Source organism: Homo sapiens, chromosome 2 (genome assembly GCF_000001405.40).
Source record: "Homo sapiens chromosome 2, GRCh38.p14 Primary Assembly".
NCBI lineage: Eukaryota > Metazoa > Chordata > Mammalia > Primates > Hominidae > Homo > Homo sapiens.
Genome location: NC_000002.12, coordinates 128,673,066 through 128,693,816, shown reverse-complemented (window position 1 = coordinate 128,693,816; position 20,751 = coordinate 128,673,066). Strand labels below are relative to the sequence as shown.

Sequence of the window (20,751 nt, the reverse complement as noted above, 5' to 3'; positions counted from 1 at the left end):
TGAGGGGACCTGAGGGGTGAGGGTAGATGGCCTGCAGCCTGCTTTTCTAGGGCCATGCTGGGTCTGCTGGGAAATAGGCTCCAGTGAGCATCTGCAGCCCCTTCACTCACTAGGAATTTTTGGACCTGCTGAGGCTTTTCCCACCTGCTCCTGTCTTTCCGGGCTGCTCTTTAACAACCTTGCCAGGGAGTTACTCTGACAGAGAACGTCATTCTTCTCATGCCCCAACCTAACCACTCCTGGAAAAGAGTCCAGAATCTCCTAGATTTCCTTAAAAAGGCAAAACTGGGAAGCCAACCAGCAAAAACATCACAGGCCACTAACTTACAGCCATGGAAACGGAAGGAATATGGACTGGCATGGAGGGGATGCAGGATCACCAAAGGAAAGACCCACATCAGCTGGGCAGACTCTTCCCAGGGGCCTGCACCAGCAGACTGCACCAGCGCCAGTCGGCACCAGGGAGCACCTATACCTGTCAGAGAGGACGGCCACTGGAATTCAGCGCAGTGATGGATGTGAAATGAGGCTGAGAAGCCAGCAGTGTCCTTAGGAGATTTTTGGAGCCAGGAATGTTGGAGCGGGTTGATAATTTGAGCCCCTTGGGAATGCCAGTCTGCCATGGGCCTGACATCCCCGCACAGTCTTGCTGGTGTGCTGGACTGTGTGGACGATCAGTCTCTAGAGGCCGATCAGTCTCCAGAGGCTGAGCAGTCTCCGTGGCATCTAAGTAGGTCAGGGCGAGCACACCATGACCACTGGCTACCATGTGACCACTGCCTGCTGTGAAGTTTGCTACTTAATCAAAAAGTGACAGCCCAGGCCAGGTGCAGTGGCTCACGCCTATAATCCCAGCACCTTGGGAAGCCAAGGTAAGTGGATCACCTGAGGTCAGGAGTTCAAGACCAGCCTGACCAATACGGTGAAACCCCATCTCTACTAAAAATACAAAAATTCTGAGACAAGAGAATTGCTTGAACCTGGGAGGCAGAGGTTGCAGTGAGCTGAGATCATGCCACTGCACTCCAGCCTGGGCGACAGAGCAAGACTCCATCTCAAAAAAAGCCAAAACAAAAGTGATGGCCCTTGGCCTGGATTCCTCGGCTGCAGCACAAACCCACTGCCTGCATGACATACATGTGGGCCCATTGCACCGCCTCCGTGGGACCTGGGGACAAGGAAACCAAAAAACCATGCAGATGCTCCGGCTGCTACTTTTACTATGAGAAATATAATCTTTCATCTCCAGTCCAGGAGGCTGTTTTTTTCTGACAGCATTCATGACACTAACTTGTCAGCATATTTGAGTCGAGTGAAATCTCAGACTCAGACCTCACCAGTCTTGACATTGACCTCTCAATTATATCCTAACTCCATCTTTTTAAAGAGGCCAGAAGACATTCCTAACACCCAAGGCAAATGGGAGGAGTATTGGAATCTGTTAGAAGCACATTAGTGGCTGTTCTCTGGAGGACAGGGTGCAGGTGTGGGGAGCTATAGGGAGAATGAGGTCCCCGATTTAAATGGAGGTACCAAGAGGCAAATGGCAAAAGCCAAGCCCTGGCACTGCTCTGTCGGAAGCAGGGAAGGCACAAAGACCACAATGAGCAACCGGATTTGTGGGGGCATCACGAGGCTCTGCTTCTGGTTAATTAATCGTGGAACGTAAGGACCAGTGCAGATCCATTAGCCCAATAAGGTTGTACCTGCATAACACAAACAAAAGCAATGAAAACACTGCCCACTAGGTTAAAAGAAGCCTCTGCTGAGCCCCAGATTGGAGGGAGATCCACAGCTTCCCACTGGAATTGCAGACCTGAGTGAGGCTCCTCTCAGCTCATACGACAGTGCACTGCTTAGCTACGTGCAATAGCTAAGCAAGTCTGAGTCTGCTCTTTCCTGACACACAAGAATTGAGTGTGCCGCTCACCCACACCCAGACCTGAGTCTGAATCCCAAACTTATCCTAGATCCACATCTCCCCTTCACTGTCACTCAAAGCCTGAGTCTTCTGCTCACTCACGCCCAGACCTAAATCAGCCCTTTAACTACATGCCAGACATCAGCCTGCTGCTCATCTATCCCCCAGAGCTAAGCCACTTTCTAAATGGACGTTTACAAAACAATGTGGTGAGCAGCAGGAGCCAGAAGTCCGTGTGAGTGGCTGCCAATCTCTTCTGCTAGCCCTCTTTTCAGAGTTACCAAGTTGAGACATATGCATTTAGTCATTTAAAAATACGACTACCTTCGGTGTGCTGGACACTGTTCTAGTCACAAGAAACATAGAGGTGAATGAGTCAATCCCCTGCCCTTACTAGACTAATAATTCTAGTGGGAAATTTAAAAATTAAATTTATTTGCAATGGTCTGCATCCCTGTTTCTCAGAATTTTGGCAAGAACTTCATACTGAGGCCAATGGCTGCCGAGTATTTCTACATTGCACAGCTTTAGACGGTCACATCCCACCTTCAACCCACGTGAGACAAGCCCAGAGGCTCCTTACAAGCAATAATTTCTTTAGCGATTACAGAGTTTTGTGGGCTTCTCAGTACCTCAAGCCTGGCCAAATAAGAGGTCCCCAGAGAATCGCTGTGAAGAGTTTGGATTGTCTGCTATCAGGGCCGCTGCATCCCAGCTGGGTGAGGGCTGTTTTGAGACTTCTGGACCCCATGCCGTCTTAGGAGAAGAGCCCCTAACAGTCCTTGAGAGGGTAGGACAACCGTCCCCTGGATGTGGAGGAGGGCAAGACAGGAACCACGTGGGGGAACGAGGGAGGAGCTGGCACTGCTGGAGTCTGGTGGGGCAAGAATACGGGTGTTTTCCTGGCAGGGTGGTTCGTGATAAGGTTTGTGGAGCCCTGAATGGTCTGGGCTCCATCATGTTAATTCCCTGCTTCTCAAGAGGGCTGCGTCCCCAGGTGAGAAGACCCTGAGGTGGGGCTTCTGTTCTAGGGCCCGGGGTGGTGCAGGAGACCCTCCCAGGAGTTTCCATCCCTGAGTGCCATAGAGGAGCTAGGACGCTTTAGTGACCAAGAGCTTTGACAAGAGAGAATTGCCCAGAGAGCCAGCACAGCAAGAAGCCCCTGTCTCCTTCTGATCCCTCTCCCGTGCCCCAGCCATGAAGGAGCAAGAAGGGGGTGGGGCGAGGAGGAGCCAGAGCAAGGGAGAGGCCATAGGCGCATGCGCTGCCCGAGGCCATAGGCGCATGCGCTGCCCGACCGGCACAGGGACAGGTGGGGACGGGGTGGGGTAGGTGGGGAACGGGGTGGAGTGGGTGCGGTGGGGTTCCATTCACTCTGTGATGTCCAGGGCTCTTCCTTGGTCATAACCTGGCACGTGGGGTCCCTTGAGCAAATCAGAGCTGCTGAAAATGTGCTGCAATGTGAGATGACTGATGGGATACAGTGTCAAGTGGTGGTTAGTGCTGTGACTCTACCCAAAGCCCATGAAGGCACGGAGAGTGGCCGCACTGAGGGGGTGGAAGGCCAGGCAGACGCTCACTGGCAGCGGTGAGCCACCGGAAGTAGGAGGGGAGTTCTCCACGCATCCGCCCCTCTCTCCCCTCTCTGCCCCCCAGCTCCGGGTGCAGATAAGTAGTCTTCATCTCGTCACCAGCCTGGACCACATCTGGAGCCTAGCTGGCCTCCCAGGCTCGTACCTTGCACTCCCCACACTGCCGTGCCCCTTCCAAAACACACATCTGAGCACACCACTCCTCCACTCCCCCTCTTCAGAAGCCTCGGTTTCACTTTAGAAGAAAGCCTCTAAGTCACTGGCGAGGCTAACGGGCCCAGGTGCCCAGGGCTGGGCTGACCCCTCTGACCTCCTCACTTCTCTCCCAGTGAAGTAGACATAAGTTTTATTGAGGACTTACATACGGGAGCAATCCAGTGGTGGTGGGCTGGGCAGGAGAACCACTAGCAGTTGTAAGAAGCACGCAGTTTATACAGCATTTCCACTTAGCACCCTCCGCCTAGCAACCACCATTTACAAAGAGCCTCTATTTCTTGCATGTCCTGTGTTTCAAGGAAAGGGACAGAGGTTCAGATATCCTTCATGGGAAAGGAGTGAATCCCTGGGTTGGCCACTCTGGATTCCCTGGCTAGGAACTCTGAATACACATTCTTCTTAGACCATAGAATCATTCTCTGAGTATGTTTCAATTATTGCTGTCAGGTGCATCTGCCATACACTGGGTCTCTTTTGCAATTCCAGAGCCGATTTACACATTAATTTTGAGGATGAGAGGGCCTGGATATCTCCAGTCATGTGATAAATGCATAAGAAATTAAAGCCTGAGGGTTAGGTGTTCAAAGCCAGCTCACAGCCTGGCGTATTGAGGTGAGCAGAGCTGGTCTGCAGGCTCAGAGTTCCAGTCCCCTGACTTCCCACTGCAGCCTCCAACATGGGCCCACCAAGCCCTTCTGCAAGACCCCAAGAGGTTCATTTCAAAACAAAAGGACTAGAGACTTTTGGTTTCAGTTCCAGCATGTGAAGAGCTTTGCAGTCATCACTCTTGTCCTTATAGCAACAGAAAGCTGGAAAACTGAAAATCAGCAACTTTCCTAGGACCCATCATGAAACTGAGGTTGCAAAACAAATAGATACCTCAAAATCCAAAGAGTCAGGTGCCCCCAGAGACAGAACTGAGACCTGCTTATCTGGAACAGAAGCTGCTAGGTCATTAACTGGGAGGAACACTTCAATGGTAGTTTTGACAAATTGCTGGAGGCTGAGTGTGGACTAGCATAAGAGGGAGAAACTACTGGGGCCACTGAGTTAAGAGTCCCTAAAATGTGTGGACTTTATATCTAGGGACGCCACAATGTCCTCATGGTGAAGATTCTAGAAGGATTCCCCTCCTGGCTCTGGCAGGGAGATGGGAAGAGCAATCATTGTGACATCCGCCCAGGGCCTCCCCCATAATAAAGGTCTATTCTTCAGGAGAAAGGACTTTGCCAGGACCTTATCTATGTTGGGGAAGGGAATTCCTCCCCCTCAATCCTCCCCAGGCTTCCTGGATCACCGGAGAGGGAGAAAACATTGGTCCATAAGAGCCACAGCTTCTGGGATGTAGATTGGAAATATCGCAGCCAGTGAAAGGTATAGGGTGCAGAGGAGAAAAAGCCAAACTGTACACCAACTCCTTCAAAGACCAACCCACCCAAGGAGAATGTCATGACCTGAATAACCCTATATCTAGTAAGTAATTTGAGTCAATTATTAATAACCTCATAAAAAAGTACTAGGCCCACATGTCCTTACTGGTAAATTCTACCAACATTTATGCAAAAAAAAAAAATATTGATTGTCATTCATCACAATCTCTTCCAGATAATAGAAGCAGACAGAGTACTTCCCAAGTGATCTATGAGGCCAGCATTACCCTAACAACGAAATGAGATGTGACATTACAAAAAAAGATAACTGCAGGGCTGGGCATGGTGGCTCATGCCTGTAATCCCAGCACTTGGGGAGGCCGAGGTAGGTGGATCACCAGAGATCAAGAGTTTGAGACCAGCCTGACCAACAAGGTGAAACCCCATCTCTACTAAAAATACAAAAATTAGCCGGGTGTGGTGGTGCATGCCTGTAATCCCAGCTAATCGGGAGGCTGAGGCAGGAGAATCGCTTGAACCTGGGAGATGGAGATTGCAGTGAGCTGAGATCGTGCCTTTGCACTCCAGCCTGGGCAACAAGAGTGAAACTCCACCTCAAAAAAAAAAAAAAAAAAAAAAAAAGATAACTGCAAACCAATATATCTGATTTTTTGAGCATAAGCACAAATATATCTGAGAAAATATTAGCAGAACAAATCCAACACCATATAAAAGGAATTATACACCACAACTAAATGAGATTTCTTCCAGGTATCCATGGTTGGCTCAACATTGTTCTGCCAGTCAGGGTTTTGCTGTTTTTGTTGCTAAGGCTGAGCTGGCCCTTGAGGTCCTTGTGCAGTGCCCCCAGTCAGCTGTGCACCTGCTAGAGGGTCCCTTCAGTCATGGAGCTTTCACTGGCTCCCTTGCTGAGCAGGCTACACCGTCCCACCCCACGGAGCACGGCAGCCACCTGCTGCACCCAGCAACATGGTGGCCCAGGCAGCATGGCTCCCGACACTCTTTTCATGAAGAAGAAGCATCAAGAAACTTTCCAGGCTGAGATCCAATTCCCTGCTGAGGGTATAAAGGGAGATCCCTTGGCACCCTTGCTATAGAATCACAATCATGCTATCAGCTCCCACTCATGGAGCCCCTGGAGAGCCATGCCCTGACAGCATCCACCATCCCTGTGACATCAGGACCCACAGCTTCCCTGTACAGATGAGCAGCATGAGTGTGGAGGGTTGAGCTCACACGGCTGGAAAGTAGGGGAGATCAGCTCTAACTCACTTTTCCCTGCCCTGGCCCACTTCATACCACTCACACACTTCACATCTGCTAGCCCTGACTGGCATCTTCCCCAGTGGTCTCTGGTGCCCAACACTGGATGCTTATCCCAACACAGTGCCCTAAACCTCACAGACACTAGACGGGGGTGGGTCAGACTTAATTTATCAATGACAAAGCCTGGCAGTGAAGATGTTACTTTTCTACAACATACCGTCAAGGAGGCCATGGAGGGACTGACCAATTCTCTTGATGAATGACACCCTCAGAGACCCCCCCAAGCCTCCCCTGGCTGGGATCAGCCTCCCTGTCCTGGGCAGGGCTCTAACCCAGCAGCTTAGCTCTGCGCTCCCATGGCAGTGGCAGCAGCCCTGTGGCCAGAGCTCTCCGGGCACAAGGTCATGTTATAACCACTCAGTCCCACCCCAGTCTCCTGGAAGGGGAGGATTGTTGCTGGCTAGCTTTGCCTGTGAGGCCCACAGAGAAAGCCCGGTAGAAACAAATGGATGGGAGACTGGGTGTGGTAGCTCATGGCCATAATCCCAGCATTTTGGGAGGCCAAGGTGGGTGGATCACTGAAGGTCAGAAGTTCAAGACCAGCCTGGCCAACATGGTGAAACCCTGTATCTACTAAAAATACAAAAAAAAAAAAAAAAAGGGAAAGAAAGAAAGAAATGAATGGGTTGGGACATGCAGGCGGGGGACAGAAACGTCTCTGCTTGCCCAGAGCAGCTGCACTCAGCTTCAAGGAAGCTTCCCCACGTCTATGGGAAGTGGTTACAGCTTTCTAGTTACCATTCAACACTGCTTCTAACCACTTGTTTTTCTTCCTTCTTCCCCTCTCCGTTTCCCATAGACATTTTATTTTTGTACAGTCACCAAACTTTTCTAATTATAGCCAATGGGAAAGAAACCACATCCTACAGCTAGAGACACATTTTGTTCATGATTAATTAGAACTAATTGATTGGATACCTTGCCTAATGTGCGGTTTTATGGTCAGGTTGAAATGTAAACCCAATCCACCCAGCAGCACTCTCCGGGAGCAGAGAGGGTGTGGCTCAGAGGGGCTCCATCAATGAGGGTGTCATAGCACCCAGGCTGCGGTGATAAGCCTATGGGTACCCACCTGCCTGTCCCCCATCATGGGCAGGGGAAGGAGCCCCAGGATGGGGATGGCACAACTTAACTCAGTTCTGCCTGTCATTTAGCTGACTTTCTGTCCCAGGCACCCTGCAAGGTCTGGGGTTATAGTGGTGCACACGCCCTCCATGGGTCCAGTCTGATCCAGGGACAGCAAAGCGAGTAAGCAAGTATAAAACTATGTTTGGGGGCTGCAGGTGGTGGGAACATCAGCAGAACCTTGGGCCATCAGGGGCTGGCCCATCTCAGCACTGCCCACACGTGCACGGTCACTCTTCTCTGCGGCTGCTACTTCTGGGGTAGCTCTCTTCTTACAGAGTACTTTGCTAGACACGCCTTTAACGTTCTTCTTAACTCAGTCTTTCAGGACCAAAACTGACCCTGCTGTGAGGGAGGTTTGGCCTTTGGAGATGAAGTCAGAGAAAGCCCAGCTGGGCCTGTCCACGGCACAGAGTCAGGTCCATCGAGGTTGGCTTTCAAACCCTGCTGGGGCTATTTTGCTTTGGTTTTCACCAAACAAAACTTTGTTATATTTCACATTATATCCAGCTCAAATTTTTTTTTCAATCTCTTCACTTTAGAAGTTAGGACACTCAGGCAAATAGAGGGTAAGATCCTTGCTGCAGGCCCCAGAACTAGCCAGTTCATGTTTGACGGCAGTCATGATTCCCTTCTGTCTTGGGTGGGGCTGCCTCTTCCCAAGGACCCCTGGCTGAGAGAGGAAGGCCCTCCTGGAGAGGTCAGCCCTTCCTCCTGCTTCACATCCTCAGTCAAGTCAACAGGCCAGCAGAAGACGCCTTTCTCTCTCTTCACATCTCAGGCCAATCTTGTTCTCAGATTCATTAGAGGTGACTGTAGGCCCAAAATTAATGCACATTTACATCAGTTTCGATTAATAGGAAGTGCAATTCAAGCTGGCTCAAGTAATAAAATATCTCTTGTCTCTCACACTGGAAAGGTCTATGGGGAAGCATGGGTTCAGCATCATTAAATCAGATTTCTGTCTTCCCCACTACAGCCCTCCCAGTGCTGGCTGTTTCCTCAGACTAGCTTCCTTCCCAGTTGCAAGAGGGCCACCAGCACACAGGGCCATAGGGAAGCCCCTCCCTTAGCCACAAAACTCAACTCCTGATCTTGATGCTGCCTGGTCACCCCCTGTGGACAAGGGAGTGCCATGTGGGAACTGGCTCAGGCCTAGGGGAGAGGGACACAGGTGGCCTGAACCAGTCTCTACCCTTCAGCCCAATGGAGACAGGCAAGATACAGGGGCAACCACCATGTCTGCCATGCCACCACCTTCCCTGATCGTGCAAGATTATTAAAGGAAATTTTTCTGATTACATAAAAAATATAAAGTGGAAAATAAAGGTCAATCAACCTCACGTCAAGAGTTTTCTGCTGCAAACACTGAAGTGTGTTTTCTCCCTGTCTTTTGACAGTTTAATTTGATCCATATAATTCACTGTTCCTTTCTTCAACAGCCCAATTTTATTAGGAGTTGTACCCCTCCCTGGTGGGGGTCCCCCAGGCCTGGCCTGAGCCAACATACAGCAGCCTCTGGACTGGGGCTTGGTCCAGGTGGTGAAGTGACTCAGCCTGTCCCATCAGAGGGGGCCCTGGGCCCATTTCTTAGGATGCTGGGGCAGAGGTTCTCACTCTTCGTGAACCCTAGGACTGCTCTCATCCATAAGAAATCTTGCCTAACATCAGAATCAACACATAGAAAGGGGCCCTGAGAAGTGTAAACCTAACAACAGAGCCTGGTAACTTTGTTGGAGCCCCACCTACCCCAGGAGGCACAGGGAGGTGAGTCTTTTTGCCTAAACAAATTGGGTCAGGCTTTTCACCAAATGCATGAATTTTTCTTTTTTTTCATTGAGATGGAGTTTCGCTCTGTCACCCAGGCTGGAGTGCAGTGGCACGATCTTAGCTCACTGCAACCTCTGCCTCCTGGGTTCACGTGATGCTCCTGCCTCAGCCTCCTGAGTAGCTGGGATCACAGGCACACACCACCACGCTCGGCTAATTTTTGTATTTGTAGTAGAGACGGTGTTTCACCATGTTGCCCAGGCTGGTCTCAAACTCCTGACCTCAAGTGATCTGCCCACCTCGGCCTCCCAAAGTGCTGGGATTACAGGCGTGAGCCACTGAGCCTTTCCCAAATGCAAGAATTCTAACTGATACAACCTTTTCCACACATAGGCTGCTGGGTCCTTTATTTTATTTTATTTTTTTTTTTGAGACAGAGTCTCGCTCTGTCGCCCAGGCTGGAGTGTAGTGGTGGGATCTCGGCTCACTGCAAGCTCCGCCTTCTGGGTTCACGCCATTCTCCTGCCTCAGCCTCCCACGTAGCTGGGACTGCAGGTGCCCACCACTGTATTTTTAGTAGAGATGGGGTTTCACCGTGGTCTTGATCTCCTGACCTCGTGATCCACCCGCCTCTGCCTCCCAAAGTGCTGGGATTACAGGTGTGAGCCACAGAGCCCGGCCTTGCTGGGTCCTGTATTTTTAATGTAAATCTGTGTCTTCATCCCTAATCCTTTCCTTAGGCTATATCCCCAGGCAGAGAGCTGCTGAGTCAAGGGCTTAATTTTCAAAGCTTTGGATACAGACTCTCAAGCTGCCCTCCAGAAATGTTGGATCTCACTGCAGCAGGGCCATTTCCTCACCACATAATCAATGATAACTACGACGTTTTAAAAGGCTTTTTAATGCATTAGGTGAACTAATTCTGCATTCAATACATGTAATGAGTATACTTTACAATGCAAGATTAGATGGGTTTTCTCACTGTGCACAAGCTCATTCGGCCACTTTGCTCTGTAGGGCACCAGAAAGAGCCTGTGTCCCGAAGCCATACACACCTGGCTCCTGCCTCCGCCCAGCCACAAATTTACACATTCACGTGGAGTGGAAATGTGTCATTTGGGGATGGAGGCTGCCCTGCAGCATCCGAACGCCTACTTTTGCAGCGGGTTGAGAGGCTGAATATGTCTCTAGTGCAGGATTAAAGATCCAGATGTAGCAAGAAGAGCCGCAGACAAAACCTCTCAGACACCAAGTTAAAGAAAGAAGGGGTTTATTCGGCCGGGAGCATCGGCAAGACTCCTGTCTCAAGAGCCGAGCTCTCCCAGTGAGCAATTCCTGTCCCTTTTAAGGGCTCGCAACTCTACGGGGGTCCACGTGAGAGGGTCTTGATCAATTGAGCAAGCAGGGGGTACGTGACTGGGGGATGCATATACTGGTAATTAGAACGGAACAGAACAGGACAGTTCAGGGATCTTCACAGTGCTTTTTTATGCAAATAACCGATTAGGTCAGCTGTTGATCTTTACCAGGCCCAGGGTGTGGTGCCGGGCTGTCTGCTTGGGGATTTCATTTATGCCTTTTAGTTTTTACTTCTTTTTTCTTTGGAGACACAAATTGGGCGTAAGACAATATGAGGGGTGGTCTCCTCCCTTACAGGGACCTGCTTGCTCTGGGTCTACACAGCCACCATGGCCTATCAGAAACAGAGCACTGACTTGGAGTTGGGAGCCAGTGACCACAGGGCAAGCAGAGGGCCCAGCTCCCAGGACAGGGTCTTTGTGTGGTGCTGCTGGGCCCTGGTGTGTCCTGCCGCCTCCCTCATCCCTGCTCATCTACCAAACCTTGTTCTCCAGCACTCCTGGTGATTTTTCAAGCCTGTCCTATCTTTGAAATAAATCCCTTTCCTGTCTGAAACAGCCAGCCTGTTTCTCTTGCATGCAATCAAGAGCCCTGACTAATAGGGTTCCATCATAATCTCTCTGCGTGTGAGGAGGGCGCGCCACCCCCTCTCTGCACAGCAAGACCCTGGGGCCAGACCCCTCCCTCCAGGTTCCATCTCAGTGTCACTTCCTCATGGAAGTCCTCCCCGACTTCAGCCAGTTTCAAACCTGTCTTTCTTCCCCTAGTAATAGTGTTCAAGATTTGAATTGAACCGCTTGTTTTGTGTCTTTGTTTTGTGTCAGGTCCACACTGGCGTGACACATCTGTGAAGGTGGAATTCAGAGTCATTGGTTCCCTCCTGCATCCCAGGATCGAGTGTGGTGTTTCACAATAACTGTTTGTGGCATGAATGAATGATAATATGGTGCTGCAGATTCCTTTCTTAAAAAGAGTGCAATTACATACTAAACCACATGCAGAAAGACAGAAATGGGAACATTTAACCTTTCATGACTGTGACCTTTTTAAGAGAAACTTTAGACATATCTCTTTACATGATTGCAGTAAATGTATATCTCAGAACCCATCATGCCTTTTTAACAAGTTAAATCTACTTTTTATCCATTCATTACTTCTTCCCTCTTGGGTGACTCTGCAAGCCTCTTTTTTATGTAAATTATGTTCTCCAAAGGGCAAAGCACAGCATTCTTAAATGAATTTATTATCCAGAGACTTCACACATTGAGACCAACCTTGCCCTTGGTTACCTCTGACCAGTGAGGTTTCAGGGGTCCCTTCACACTGCAATCAATGCCAGGGCCTATAGGAGGTGCTGCGTGAGTCCTAGGACAGGGCATGTGTGGCCAGCAGCACCCTGGAAGCTACACTGCTGGAGCTCCCATGTCTCCCTGCTGCCCTCAGCATCCCTGCACCTCCACCTGGAGCTCGCGTATTTTACCTGTGTATGCAGACTCAAGCTACACTGATCTTTGAAATGTGGGCCGTCTCGAGTTTCCCCTTCCTTCCCATTCTCCTTGTTTGTTTTCTCAGCTCATGCCTGAGCTCCCAGAGCCTTTCCTCCACCTGTAGGTGGGAGTCCTTACTGCTGTGCTTACATCATTGTTTGAAATGCTTGTTCTCCGGTGCCATAAATTAATAGCACTTGAACATAAAAAAAAAGGCCATTTTTACTTTCTGCAGAAAGGTACACTCGCCAGCAGTTTTGCCCCGAGAGTACGCCGAACAAAGGAGACAGGGTCATTTATAACCTGACGTGTCCACCCTACTGCTGTGTCCGGTTTCCATTGGCTGGAAGGGGACCTCACTTTCTGTATTTGTCCCAATTGGTAGTAACTTAGAACTTTTTTAAAGAGGCAAAGGTAGAGGAGAACAAAGGAAGGAGAAAGTAACTTGTGGAATGCTAAGAAAGGTAAAAACACCTTCAAATAAGGAAGAGGAACAGGCTATGACCTAATGCTTTCTTGGACCAGTAGAAGCATGCCAGGGCAAACACTTAGGCTAAATTATGGGAGCTAAGAACATAAAGAACATAAAGGGCTAGCAGATATTTAAGAATGTTAGCACAAGTCTTTGAATAAATTTGCATTTAAGAGAAGTTACTATTTATCCCTAATTAGACGGAGAAGAAAGTCTTTGAAGAGGAAGCTCTGTTTTACTTTTTACAATCATCCTTTGTCAATTTTCACAATGCTTCCAATTAAAAGAAAACCCCAGCTGGGCGTGGTGGCTCACGCCTGTAATCCTTGCACTTTGGGAGGCCAAGGCAGGTGGATCACAAGGTCAGAAGTTCGAGACCAGCCTGGCCAACATGGTGAAACCCTGTCTCTACTAAAAATACAAAAATTAGCCAGGTGCAGTGGCAGGTGCCTGTAATCCCAGCTACTCCAGAAGCTGAGGCAGGAAAATCGTTTGAACCCAGGACGTGGAGTTTGCAGTGAGCCGAGATGGCGCCACTGCATTCCAGCCTGGGTGACAGAGCAAGACTCCGTCAGAAAGAAAGAAGGAAAGAAAGAAAGAAACAGAGAAAGAAAAAGAAAGAAAGAGAAAGAAAGAAAGATAGAGAAAGAAAAAAACAGAGAAAGAAAAAAAGAAAGAAAGAAAGAAAGAAAGAAAGTAAGAAAGGAAGGAGGGAGGGAGGGAGGGAGGGAAGAAGGAAGGAAGGGGAAGGGAAGGGAAGGAAGGAAAGAAGGAAAGAGAGAGAGAAAGAAAGGAAGAAAGAGAGGGGGGAGGGAGGGAGGGAGAGAGGAAGAAAGGAGGGAAAAAGGAGGGAAAAAGGAAGGAAAGGAAAGAAAGAGAAAACCCCCGGACTTTGTGAGCTTTCTCTTCCTCTGGCTTTCTCCTGGCTTGGTTAGCACTGTACTGGGGAGAGATCCCAGTTGTTTTACTCAGAGCCTTTGTTTTCTTTTTCCATTGTTAAATTTTTTATGTTTAAAATAATTTCAGATTCACAGGAAGTTTCAGGGGACAAAGAGGTCCCCTGTACCCTTCATTCAGTTTCCTATAAAAGTAACATTTTTCGTAGGATAGTGCAATGTCAAAACCAGGAAACTGACATTACTATAAAGTGTGTGTATAGCTCTGTGCCTTTTATCACACATATGTGCTCAGGCATCAACCACCACACTCGAGACACAGAACCGCTCCGTCCCCACAAAGCTCTCCCTTATGAAACAGTCGCGCCCACACCCGCCCCAATATCCCTCAACCCTGGCAGTGAGAATTTCATTTCAATCTCTATAACTTGGCCAGGCGTGGTGGCTCATGCCTGTAATCCCACCACTTTGGGAGGCCAAGGCGGGCAGATCACCTGAGGTCAGGAGCTTGAGACCAGCCTGGCCAACATGGCAAAACCCCGTCTCTACGAAAAACACAAAAATTAGCCAGGCGTGGTGGTGCATGCCTGTAATCCCAGCTACTCCGGAGGCTGAGGCAGGAGAACCGCTCGAACCCAGGAGGCGGAGATTGAAATGAGCCGAGATCATGCCACTGCACTCCAGCCTGGGCAACAAGAGCGTAACTCCATCTCAAAAAAAGAAAAAAAAAAACTCTATAACTTTATCATTTTGAGAATGTTTAATACATGGAGTCACACAGTGTGTAACCTTTTGAGACTGGCTCGATTCACTGAGCCCAATATCCTTAAGATCCATCAGAGTTGTGGAGTGTCTCAGCAGTCAGTTCCTTAGCATTGCCGAATCATTGCATGGAGTGGATGTACCACAGTTTGTTTAACTCTTCACCTATTAAGGAACCTGTTGGTTATTTCCAGTTTTTGGCCATCACAAGTAAAGCTGGTTTGAACACTGTGTACAGATTTTTGTGTGAGCATAATTTTTTAATTTATCTGGAATAAATGTCCAAAATTATTGCTGGGTAAATTCTATGTAGTTTTTTTAAGAAACCGCCAAACTATTTTCCAGAATGGCTGTGCCATTTTCCATTCCAACCAGCAATTGTAAGAGACCCAGTTTCTTCACTTCCTCATCACCATTTGGTATTGTCATTATGTTTTTAATTTAGCTGTTCCAATAGCAAAATGTAAATAAGAAATTAAACAGATGAAAAATAAGATCATCATCATGATCTTAAATTGCATTTCCTAGTAGCTAATAATGCTGAACATCTTTTCATGTGCTTATTGGCCATCTATGCATCCTCTTTGGTAAAATGTCTTTTCGTATTTTTTGCCTATATTGTAGTTGGATTGTGCTTTTTTAATGTTGGGTTTGAAAATTCTTCAGGTATTCTAGAGACGAATCCTTTGTCAGGTATGTGATGTGTAAATATCTTTTCTCAGACTGTAGCCTGTCTTTTCATCCTCCTTAACAAGACTTGACACAGAGCAAACGTTTTTAATTTTTATGCAGTCCAATGATCAATATTTTTATTTCAAGAAAACACTTTAGGTGTTAACTCTAACAACTCTTCACCAAGTCCAAGGTCCCAGAGATTTTCTCTTCTGTTATCTTCTTCTACAGGTTTTATAGTTTTACATTTTACTTTTAATTCTATGGTCCTTTTTGAGCTAATTTTGATTCTAGGTTGTTTTTTCCCCCATAGATGCCCAATTTCTCCAGCACCTATCCTTGCTCCATTGAATAGTGTAATAGAAACAACATGAGTGGATTTCAAAAGCATTATGCAAACTGAAAAAGAGTAGACATGGCTGGGTGCGGTGGCTCAGCCTGTAATCCCAGCACTTTGGGATGCCAAAGAGGGCAGATCATGAGGTCAGGAGATTGCGACCATCCTGGCTAACACGGTGAAACCCTGTCTCTACTAAAAATACAAAAAATTAGCCGGGCATGGTGGCGGGCACCTGTAGACCCAGCTACTCGGGAAGCTGAGGCAGGAGAATCGCTTGAACCCGGGAAGCGGAGGTTGCAGTGAGCCAAGATCATGCCACTGCACTCCAGCTTGGTGACAGAGCGAGACTCCATCTCAAACAACAACAACAACAAAAAGTAGATGTAAAGATTGTAACACTGTGTGGTTTCATGCTATGAAATTCCACAAACAGCAGAATTATGGCAATAGAAAGCAGACCATTGGTTACCAGAGCCAGGAGTAGCAGAGGGGAATGACTGCAAAGGGGCATGAGGAAATTTTAAGGAGTGATTAAATGTTCAATATTTTTATTTTGGTGATGGTTATACAACTATATACATAATATAAAACTCATCAAATTAAACACTTAAAATGGCATATTTTTGTTGTACATAAATTATACCTAAATAAAGCTGACACCACCTCCCCCAAAAAAATCAATTGGCTCTACTTGTGTGGAGAAATGTTGGGGTTCTCTGTTTTGTTTCATTGATGTGTTTATCCCTCCACCAAAGCCACATTCTCTTGATTACCATAGCATACTAAGTCCTAAAATCAGGTAGACGGAATCCTCCCATTTTATTCTTCTTTTTGCCAAGTGGTTACTTGTTCTAGATCTTTTACTTTCTATATAAATTTTAGAATAATCTTTTCTATATTTACAAAAAACTCCCTGGAATTTCAATATGTGTAGTGTTAAACCTATATATCACTTTGGATGGAATTGACACCTTAACAATGTTGAATTTTTCAATCCATGGAAATGATATATCTCTCTGTTTATTTATATCTTCTTTTATTTGTTTCTTCAGTTTTATAGTTTTCAGCATACAAAACTCATGCATGTTTGGTTATACCCAAGTATTTCATTTTTCTTGAGCAGTTGTAAATAGTATTATATTTTTATTTTAATTTCTACATATACATTTTGAGCAGGTAGAAATATGTTCTGTGTGTGTGTGTGTGTGTGTGTGTGTGTGTGTGGTGTGTGTGTGTGTGTGTGAGATACATTGTCTTACTCTGTCACCCAGGTTGGAGTGCAATGGCATGGTCTCAGCCCATTGCAACCTCCGCCTCCTGGGTTCAAGCGATTCTCCCACTTCAGCCTCCTTAGTAGCTGGGACTACAGGCATGTGCCACCACACCCCGCTGATTTTTGTATTTTTAGTAGAGACGGGGTTTCAGTATGTTGGCCAGGCTGGTCTTGAACTCCTGACCATGTGATCCGCCTGCCTCGGCCTACCGAAGTGCTGGGATTACGGGCTTGAACCACTGTGCCTGGCCAGAAATATATTCATTTTTGTATGTTGGATTCATATCCTGGAACCTTGCCACATGCACTAATTAGGTCTAGGGGACTTTCTACATAGACTGTCATGTCATCTGCATATAGAAATAATTTAATTTCTTCCTTTCTGATCTGCATGCCTTCTATTTCATTTCTTGCCATATTGCACAGGCAAAAAATTTCAGTATTTTGTTGAAGAAGAGGGATGAGAGTGAACATCCTTGCCTTGATCCCAATCTTAGGAGGAAAGCATCCAGTCTTTCACTATTAACCATAACATTAGCTGTAGGTTACTTGTAGATGGTCTTTATCAAATTTAGGAAATCTCTATTCCTAGTTTTGTGGTTTTTTGTTTTGTTTTGTTTTGTTTTGGAAACAGAGTCTCACTCTGTCACACAGGCTGGAATGCAGTGGCATGATCTCAGCTCACTGCAACATCTGCCTCCTGGGTTCAAGCGATTCTCCTGCTTCAGCCTCCCAAGTAGCTGAGATTACTGGTGCATGCCACCACGCCCGGCTAATTTCTGTATTTTTAGTAGAGACGGGTTTCACCATCTTGGCCAGGCTGGTCTCGAACTCCTGACCTCAGGTGATCTGCCCGCCTTGGCCTCCCAAAGTGTTAGGATTACAGACGTGAGTCACCACACCCAGCCTCTATTCCTAGTTTTATGAGAGTTTTTATGATTAATGGGGCTTGAATTTTGTCAACTGTCTTTTGTGCATCAATTGATATGACCCTGTGATTTTTCTGTCATCTGCTAATATGATGGATTACATTCTAACTACTGAACTGGCTTTGCATCCCTAGAATAGAGCAGATTTAGTTACGATCTATAATTCTTTGTATATATTGCCAAATCGTATTTGTTAATATCTTATTAAAATGTTTGCATTTACATGCAGGGGATAGTTGGCTTTAGTTTTCTTTTTTTACTGTCTTTGTCTAGTTTTAGCATCAGAATAAACCAGCCTCAAAAAGTGCTTTGGGAAATGTTTCCTCTTCTTTTAATTTCTGAAAAAGATTATATAGAATTTGTATTAATTATTCTTGAAATGTTTGGTAGAATTCTTCAGTGAAATCATCCAGACCTGAAGGTTTTCAGAGGAGATTTTTTTTTTTTTTAACGTATTTCTTTGGCCGGATGTGGTGGCTCATACCTATAATCCCAACACTTTGAGAGGCCGAGGCAGACAGATCACCTGAGGTCAGGATGTCAAGACCAGCCTGAACAACATGGTGAAACCCCATCTCTACTAAAAATACAAAAATTAGTTGGGCGTGGTGGTGCACACCTGCAGTCCCAGCTATTGGAGAGGCTAGAGCAGGAGAATAGCTTGAACCCAGGAGGCAGAGGTTGCATTGAGCTGAGATCACACCACTGCACTCCAGCCTGGGCAACACAGTGAGGGTCTCTCTCAAAAAAATAATAAATAATAAATGAATTAATTAATAATACATAAAATAAAATAAAATTTACTTATTGAATAGTTATAGAGGTAGGCAAATTATTCACTTTATATGGGATGAGCTGCCAGAGTTTGTGCTTTGAGGATTTAGTTGACGTCTTCTAAGTTGACATACTTAGGTCTGTAGAGTTGCTTGGAGTATTTCCTTATGATTTTGATACATCCATGATTATTAGAGATACCCCATTTCATTTATGATATGGATAATTTGTGTATTCTCTTTTTTTTCTTTGTTAATCTTGCTAGATGTTTGTCAATTTTATGGAATTTCCAAAGAACTAGCTTTTTGTCCCTTTGATTTTCCCTACTTTTTTTGTTTTCAATTTTATTTTTTGCCCTTATCTTTATTATTCTCTTTTTTATGCTTGATTTGGGTTTAGTTTGCTCTTGTTTTTCTATTTTCTTAAGATGGAAATGTAGAATATTAATATATTTTATCTTTTCTAATGTAAATATTTAATGCCATATGTTTCCCTTAGCACTGTTTTAGCTTTGTCCCATGAATTTGTATATGTTGTATTTTTTTCATTTAATTCCATGTTTTTATTTTCCTTTGATCCATGCTTTGCTTAGAAGTGTGATGTTTATTTAGTTTCCAAATGTTTAGAGATTTTTTCCATTATCTTTTTATTATCTATTTCTAGGTTGACTCCCATGTGGTCAGATAATATACTCTGTAAGGTTACAATATTTTGAAACTTATTAAGGTTTGTTTTATGTCCTAGGATATGGTCTATCTTGTAAATGTTCCATGAAAACTTGAAGAGGCTGTGTATTCTGCTACTATTGAATGAAATGTTCTATAAATATCAGTTAGATCCTGTTCATTGCTAAAATCTTCTTACTGATTTTCTATCTGAATATTCTATCATTGAGATATAGTTGCTGAAGTTTTCAATTATAATTGAGAATTTGCCTATTTCTCTCTCAGTTCTAGCATTATTTCTTCACATATTTTAGCTTTGTTGTTTAATGCACACACATTTAGAATTGCTATGTCTTCTTGATGGATTTACCCCTTATCATTACACAATGTTCTTTTCTGTCTCTGGTAATTCTCTTGGCTCTTAGGTTGACTTTGATGTTAATATAGCTATTCATGCTTTCTTTTAATTAATGTTTGCATGTTACATCTTTTTCTGTTCTTTTATTTTCAACCTACCTATAATATTATACTTGAAGTGAGTTTCTTGTAGACAGCATATACTGGATGATTTTAAAATCTACCTGCTGATTTCTGTCTCTTAACCAATATATTTGAACCACTTATATTTAATGTAGTTGTTTTATGTCAGGGCTTAAGTATGACATTTTTAATTTTTGTTCTCTGTTTCTTTCTTTTTTACTTCATTTTTCTGTTTCCTTTATCCTTCTTTCCTGTGGGGATCCTTGTTTTTTTTTTTTTTTTTTAGAATTCCATCTAGTGTTTTGAATATGTATACTTGAATAGATGTTTTAGTGGTTGCTTGAGGTATTAATTATACATGCATAACTGTCACCATCTACTAGTGTTGATATGTTACCAGTTTGAGGGAAGTGTAAAAATTTTACCTCTATTTAAATCCCTTTAACTTCCCCCATTCGCAATATAATTGTCTTAAATATTTTCTCTACACACTTTGAGAGTTCCATCAGATAGTGTTATAATTTTGTTTCAACCATCAAACATCATTTAGAAACTGAAAAATGAAATCTATTGTATTTACCTATATTTTTACTCTTTCTATTGTCCTTTCTTCTTTCCTGATGTTCTAGATTCCTTCTTGTATCATTTTGTTTCTGTTTCAATAGCTCCCTTTAGTCATCCTATTAGGGTAGATTTGCCGGTGACAGATTTTCTTAGTTTTCCTTCATCTGACAACGTCTTGATTTTCCCTCACTTCTGAAGTCATTTTCACTAGATACAGAATTTTTTGTTGAAAGTCCTTAAAAGATGTTGTGCTGATTCCTTCTAGCCTCTATGGTTTCTGATGAGAAATCCACTGTCATTCTAATTGTTTTCCTCCCATAAATAAGGTGTCATTTCTCCCTTGCTGCTTTAAAGATTCTTTTCTCTGTCTCTAGTTTCCAGGAGTTTGATTAGAATATGTCTTGGAATACATTTTTGGGGATTGTCCTCTTTGAGAGATTGGCTTAACATCTTGAATCTCTAGGTTTATGTCTTCTGCCAAATTTGGGAACTTTTCAGCCATTATTTCTTGGAATGCTTTTTCGGGCCTGCTGTTTTTCTTCTTTCCTCTGGAACTCTGAATGATGCAAATGTGATACCAGCTGTTAAAATCCAACATGTCCCTGATTGTCTATTCATTTTCCTTTTCAGTCTATTTTTCTGTGTTTCAGGCTGGGCAATTTCTAATGTTCTATCTCTTTAAGTTCACTGATTCTTTCTTCCATATATTACATTCTGCTGTTCAGCCCATCTACTAA

The 20,751-nt window shown here is 45.2% G+C and overlaps 3 annotated features.

Annotated features, from left to right (window-relative positions):
* Positions 662-835: a silencer, noted in NCBI's record as "fragment chr2:129450556-129450729 (GRCh37/hg19 assembly coordinates)". NCBI's record gives its function as "represses an EF-1alpha promoter that drives an FKBP-Casp9 reporter gene in an ReSE screen in HepG2 liver carcinoma cells {active_cell/tissue: HepG2}" and the evidence as "EXISTENCE:reporter gene assay evidence [ECO:0000049][PMID:32094911]".
* Positions 2,512-3,304: an enhancer, noted in NCBI's record as "H3K4me1 hESC enhancer chr2:129448087-129448879 (GRCh37/hg19 assembly coordinates)". NCBI's record gives its function as "activates a minimal SCP1, AML or CMV promoter by ChIP-STARR-seq in primed H9 embryonic stem cells {active_cell/tissue: H9 hESC(primed)}" and the evidence as "EXISTENCE:reporter gene assay evidence [ECO:0000049][PMID:30033119]".
* Positions 11,107-11,631: an enhancer, noted in NCBI's record as "H3K4me1 hESC enhancer chr2:129439760-129440284 (GRCh37/hg19 assembly coordinates)". NCBI's record gives its function as "activates a minimal SCP1, AML or CMV promoter by ChIP-STARR-seq in primed H9 embryonic stem cells {active_cell/tissue: H9 hESC(primed)}" and the evidence as "EXISTENCE:reporter gene assay evidence [ECO:0000049][PMID:30033119]".